The sequence below is a fragment of the Homo sapiens genome, chromosome 5, assembly GCF_000001405.40.
Source record: "Homo sapiens chromosome 5, GRCh38.p14 Primary Assembly".
NCBI classification, from domain to species: Eukaryota; Metazoa; Chordata; class Mammalia; order Primates; family Hominidae; genus Homo; species Homo sapiens.
Genome location: NC_000005.10, coordinates 84,958,409 through 84,964,136, shown reverse-complemented (window position 1 = coordinate 84,964,136; position 5,728 = coordinate 84,958,409). Strand labels below are relative to the sequence as shown.

The 5,728-nt window shown below is 39.1% G+C and overlaps 2 annotated features.

Moving 5' to 3' along the window:
* Positions 2,271 to 2,770: an enhancer, noted in NCBI's record as "H3K4me1 hESC enhancer chr5:84257185-84257684 (GRCh37/hg19 assembly coordinates)". NCBI's record gives its function as "activates a minimal SCP1, AML or CMV promoter by ChIP-STARR-seq in naive H9 embryonic stem cells {active_cell/tissue: H9 hESC(naive)}" and the evidence as "EXISTENCE:reporter gene assay evidence [ECO:0000049][PMID:30033119]".
* Positions 2,771 to 3,272: an enhancer, noted in NCBI's record as "H3K4me1 hESC enhancer chr5:84256683-84257184 (GRCh37/hg19 assembly coordinates)". NCBI's record gives its function as "activates a minimal SCP1, AML or CMV promoter by ChIP-STARR-seq in naive H9 embryonic stem cells {active_cell/tissue: H9 hESC(naive)}" and the evidence as "EXISTENCE:reporter gene assay evidence [ECO:0000049][PMID:30033119]".

Sequence of the window (5,728 nt, the reverse complement as noted above, 5' to 3'; positions counted from 1 at the left end):
TTTTTTTTTAAGTCAGTTTGTTGTCGTTAAACCAGATGTGTATATAACTTCTACAAGACTTGCTTATAAAGGACTTTAGCATCTGAGATTACATTGACAAGAAAAGAAGTTGAGTCTAAGCAGGGTGATTGACCTGATTGTAGCCAAGTAGTTTGGAGTATCAAGACTAAAGGAGAGTGACAAAGTTGAGCATATTTTGGGTAAGCCCCTCTACTGAGACTGTTATATTGTATTAGCAGAAATCTAGGGAACAGCTGCAACTATCTCCCCTCAAAATCAGGCAGAAATAATATCATTTATTTGGGATTCAGATCATTCAAAATAAAAAAGCATGTACATTACGAAAATTAAAAACCACAAGGAGATACCTTTTCATATCCACAGGAAGCTAAAATAACACAGACAATAACAAGTGTTGGTGATGATATGGATAAACCAAATTTAACATCAATTGTTGGAGAAATATCAAATGGTGCAGCCATTTTGAAACATGGTTATCAAATATTGTATTAATTATAATATCTTCCTCTAAAGAGAGTGGTTGGGAGTGGGGAGCCTATCAAGGGCAGGCATCCTTTTAGTTTCAGTGCGAGATTAGAGTAATGCTTCCTAATACAAATGGAACATGAGGAATGAGGCAAGGAAATGAAAGCAGAACCCCAACCATTTAGAGTGGCTAAAAAGTAGGTAAGAACACAAATATCTCTCTGTGTGCCAACAGCTGCCCACAGTACATCCAATCTCAGCAGAACTTAATATATAACTCTAAGACAAATAATTCTTACAAAGATTTAGTAGACTGAATTTAACCATATTGTTTGCCTTACTTTGCAATGAGTTGAATGCCAGGAAAGGGCAAGCACAGTTCTGAATAGTATGATGACTACAGATGAAAGGTACTCATATTTGATACTTAAAAAAGATAACAGAATTTAAAATAACTAATTTTTTTGCAAGTAATATAGCCATGGTGGTGCAAATAAACTGCTCTGTGCTGACTTATATCTGCAAAATAAATAAATAAATAAGTGAATCTGGGTAAGTGTGGGTTGCATATACGACACATCAAATGATTGAGGTCCAGAAGACTCTAAGCTCATTACATACAGGTACAATGTATTCCTCAATCATTCAATGCACACGTCTTTTATTTTGGGAGATGTTTCTTAATTTTTTTTTTTTTTTGAGATAGAGTTTCAGTCTTGTCACCCATGCTGCTGGTGTGCAGTGGTGTGATCTTGGGTCACTGCAACCTCTGCCTCCTGGGTTCAAGAGATTCTCCTGCCTCAGCCTCCTGAGTAGCTGGGATTACAAGTGCCTGCCACCACACCTGGCTAATTTTTTGTATTTTTAGTAGAGACAGGGTTTCATCATGTTGGGCAGACTGTTATCCAATTCTTGACCTCACGCAATCCCCCCACCTTGGCCTCCCAAAGTCTTAATTATTTTAATTGGTTTTTAGTTACAGAAACTTTGAGTTAATCATTCTCCATGATCATCATTGATCAGTGTAAAATCTCTCATTATTTTTAATATTATTTTATGTTTTTCTTCATTTATAATGTCCATGAATTTTTTCTCCTGTCAGTGACTAGTCACCCCTTCCCTGCATTTTAGAAGTGTCCCTATATAAAATGTGAAAATTTATATAAATCAGGCAAAACTTAAAGGATACAACCTAAGGGAAATCTACCTGGGCCTCCCTGCACTCTCAGGGGCCTGAGAAGCCCCCATGCTCCCACAGGCTTGGAAGTACCTGCTCCCACTACCAGGCCTCTGTCCCTACTTCCAGTGCTTGCTCCAGTTTTGGAGCAAAGTTGAGGCTAAGCCCAGGAACTGTTGTGACCTAGCTGGGTGTGTGAGTACTTGAGGTGGCACTGACATACCAGGTCCCTGCTGCCTGAACTCCCTCTGGACTTGAGGGAGTTCGAGGGGGTCCTGAGGGCAGCTTGGCACAGGCCTGCAGGCACCCCTAAGCATGAACAGCCTGGGCACCACGGACATGATTGGTGGTGGCAGGAGGCAGACAGGCCCCTGGGCAGGAAGGGGTAGGTCCCTGGTGAAGCCTCACCTTTAATCCAGGGATGGTCTGAAGCCCGGGGGCTTGCTGTCAGTTCCAGGTGGAGTCCACATCCTCAAGTGAAAACCTGTGCTATTTCTGGCCTGCCCATGGCTCCCCAGGGACCAGTCAGTGCAAACTTCCTCCATTCTGAGCTCATAAAACCCCCAGACCCAGCCAGACTCACACAGACATTGAGCAACCTGCCTGCAGAAAGGAACTTCCCATGGTGGGTCTCCTGAGAGTCATTCACTCAGTGAAAGTCCTCTCAGCTTTGCTCACCCTCCAGTTGTCCGTGTACCTCATTCTTCATGGATGCAGGACAAGAACTTGGAACTTGCTGAATGGCAGGACCGAAAGAGCTGTAACACAAATGGCTAAAACATGCCCTCCCATTTGCTGCATTGCAGGTGACTAGAAGGAGAGAAGAGCTGCAGCCCTTTGGGGAGCCTAGACCTAGTTGTTCTCAGGGCCAGGGCTGTGACACTCTCTTTGGAGCTCTGTGGTTACTGGCGTCTCCAAGCCTCTGGGTGCCACCACATTCCCCTCATCCACACGCGGATGCCCAAAACTGAAGCTGCATGCAGTATATCTGGTCCAGCCACAGCTTCATATGGAGCCAGCACCTGTGCTGATGCCTGGAGCTGCCCACCCTGCCACAGCAGTCAGCACGCTGGACACAGTGGCCGGACCCCACGCTTGCTCGCCCACACACCCCTCTCCACTTTGCACCTGGTTTGCCCGCGGGAGGTATGGGATTTGGGCTGATAGTGTGACCTGAACACAGCCTGCCAGGCCAAGGGGGCAGAATGAGCCAAGCAGGCACTAGCAATACTCAGGCAGAAGGTTTCACTGGCCACAGAGGTTTCTGGCTGGCAAAGTGACACCCTAAGTATCCTGTGACACTGGGCCACACAGCAGGAGGTGACCAGCAGGTAAGCAAGCATTGCCACCTGAGCTCTGCCTCCTGTCAGATCAGCAGTGGCATTAGATTCTGATAGGAGAGCAAACCCTATAGTGAACTGTGCATGCAAGGTTGTGTGCTACTTATGAGAATCTAATGCCTGGTGATCTGAGGTCGAAGAGTTTTATCCAGAAACGATCCTCCTAATGTCCCATCTGTGGAAAAATTGTCTTCTATGACAGTGTTCCCTGGTGACAAAATGTTTGGGGACAACTGTTTTACAGCATTACTCAAAATAGTATTACTGAGATTCATCTATGCTGTGTAGATGAGTGGTTTGATCTTCCTTATTGTTGAGTAGCACTAAACTGTGAGTGTAAACACATACATACACACACAGACCCACAAATACATATGTTTATTTATTCACCTTTTGTTAAACATTTGGGTTGTTTTTAGTTTCTGGCCCTTGGAAATAAAGAAAATTTTATATTTTCACTTCTCTTAGATGGTGTTGCTGGGTTTACGCATATATATATATATATATGTATATATATATATATATACATATATATATATACACACACACACACATACATATACACATACATATATATGTGTGTGTGTGTATATATATATATATATATATATATATATATATATATATAACTGTGAAATTGTTTTACATAGGGATGTAATATTGTACATTCCTACCAGGAATGTATGAAAGTTCCAGTTACTTCCCATCTTTTCAAGCATGTAATATTGCCAGTAGTTTTAATTTTTCTGTTACAGTGTGTTTGCAGTGGTATCTTGCTATGGTTTTAATTTTCATTTCCTTGATGGCTAATGAAGAAAGATGCTGAGCATCTTTCCATGTGTTTGATAACATCTATGATATCTTTTGTAAAGTATCTGTTAAACATCATTTGGTCATTTTAAAATCAAACCTAAATTTCTTATTTTAATTTTATTTCCCTTTCTTATTATGGTTTTAATGGTTGATTGTATATTCTATTGAGAAATCCTTTGTCATATTTATAAAAAATATTTTCTTCCTGTCTTTGGGTTGCCTTTTCTTTTCTTACCCTTGTCTCAAAAGGTTTTGTTGTTGATAAAGTCCCATTTATAATTTTTTTCTTTTATAGTTCATGCTTTTTCTGTCCTACTAAGAAATCTTTGCTTATTTCCACAGACACAAAAATTTATTATGGAAAACTTTTATTTGTAATACTTTCATAGTTTTTTCATTTTAACTTTAGGTTTATAATTAATTTAAATTTCATTTTTTGTACATGATATCAGATAAAAGCCAAGCTTAATGTTTTTGCACATAGATATGTAGCTACTTCATCACTGTATATTATTGTCAATCACAAATTGTTCATGTATGTATAATTCTACCTGTAGCCTTTCTACTCCAGGCTACTATTCTGCATGTACATTCTTATGTGAACTATTGTCATTACTATGTCTTTCTTTTTATTTATTTAATTTAATTTTATTTTTTTTTTAGATGAAGTCTCACTCTGTCACCCAGACTGGAGTGCAGTGGGTCAATCTCAGCTCACTTCAACCTCTGCCTCCTGGGTTCAAGCAATTCTCCTGCCTCAGCCTCCTGAGTAGCTGGGACTACAGGCATGTGGCACCATGCCCAGCTAATTTTTTTTTTTATATTTTCAGTGGAGACGGGGTTTCACCATGTTGGCCAGGCTGGTCTCAAACTCCTGACTTCATGTTCCACTGGATTAGGCCTCCCAAAGTGCTGGGATTACAGGCGTGAGCCACCGCGCCCGGCTACATGTTTTTCCAATAAGTCTTGAAATCAGGTAATGTAAGTCCTCCAGCCTTCTTTTTCAACCTGCCAAAATTTGAGGGCTTTTCTGGGATTTCGTATATTTATATAAAATTTAAAATTAGCTTTTCAATGTTTCCAAATTTTCTCCTTGGAATTTTTGAAGGGATGACATCAAGTCTATAAATCAGTTTGGGGAGAAGAATTTTTTATTGTAATAATATTATATGTCTTTTCATCCAAACACATGGTAGATCTTCCCATTTATGTAGGATTTTAAAAATTGATATCAACAATTTTTGTAGAAATAAGTGTAAAATGTATCTCATATATTTTGTCAAATTTATTGATGAGTATTTTATTTTTTGATGCTATTGTATATGGTATTATAATTTAAAATTCTTAGTGTTTATTGCCAGTATACAGAAATATTATAGATTTTTATGTGAATTGTAATAGTAAAATCACTTTTTAGATCTAGAAGTTGTTTTGTGATTTTTCTTATGATTTTCTATGTACATAATCTTGTCATTTGTGAAGAAAGACAATTTTAAAAAAATTTATTTTCAATATGCATACCTTCCATTTCATTTCCTTGCCTTACTGCACTTGTTACAACCTCCGGAACAGTGTTTAATAAAAGTAATATTCATGGATATCTTTGTCTTTTTACCCAGTCTTAGAGGGAAGTCATGTAGTCTTTTACCATTGACTGAGATTTTGGTCATTTGATTTTTGCTATTTTTTTTTTCCATATACCTGAAGGCCACACCACTGAACATTGTAACTTAACCTTCACTGGCTTTTTTATAGATAATATGTATATGTCACCATGGTAACTGTTGCTTAAGTTGTTTTTCAGGAACTTGGGGGCAGCTTCTGTTCAGTTCAAACAGAGACCACCAACCCTTCAACTGGACCTGTGCAAATGCCTAAGAGGTGGCATTTTGATGCCACAGGATTGAAAACT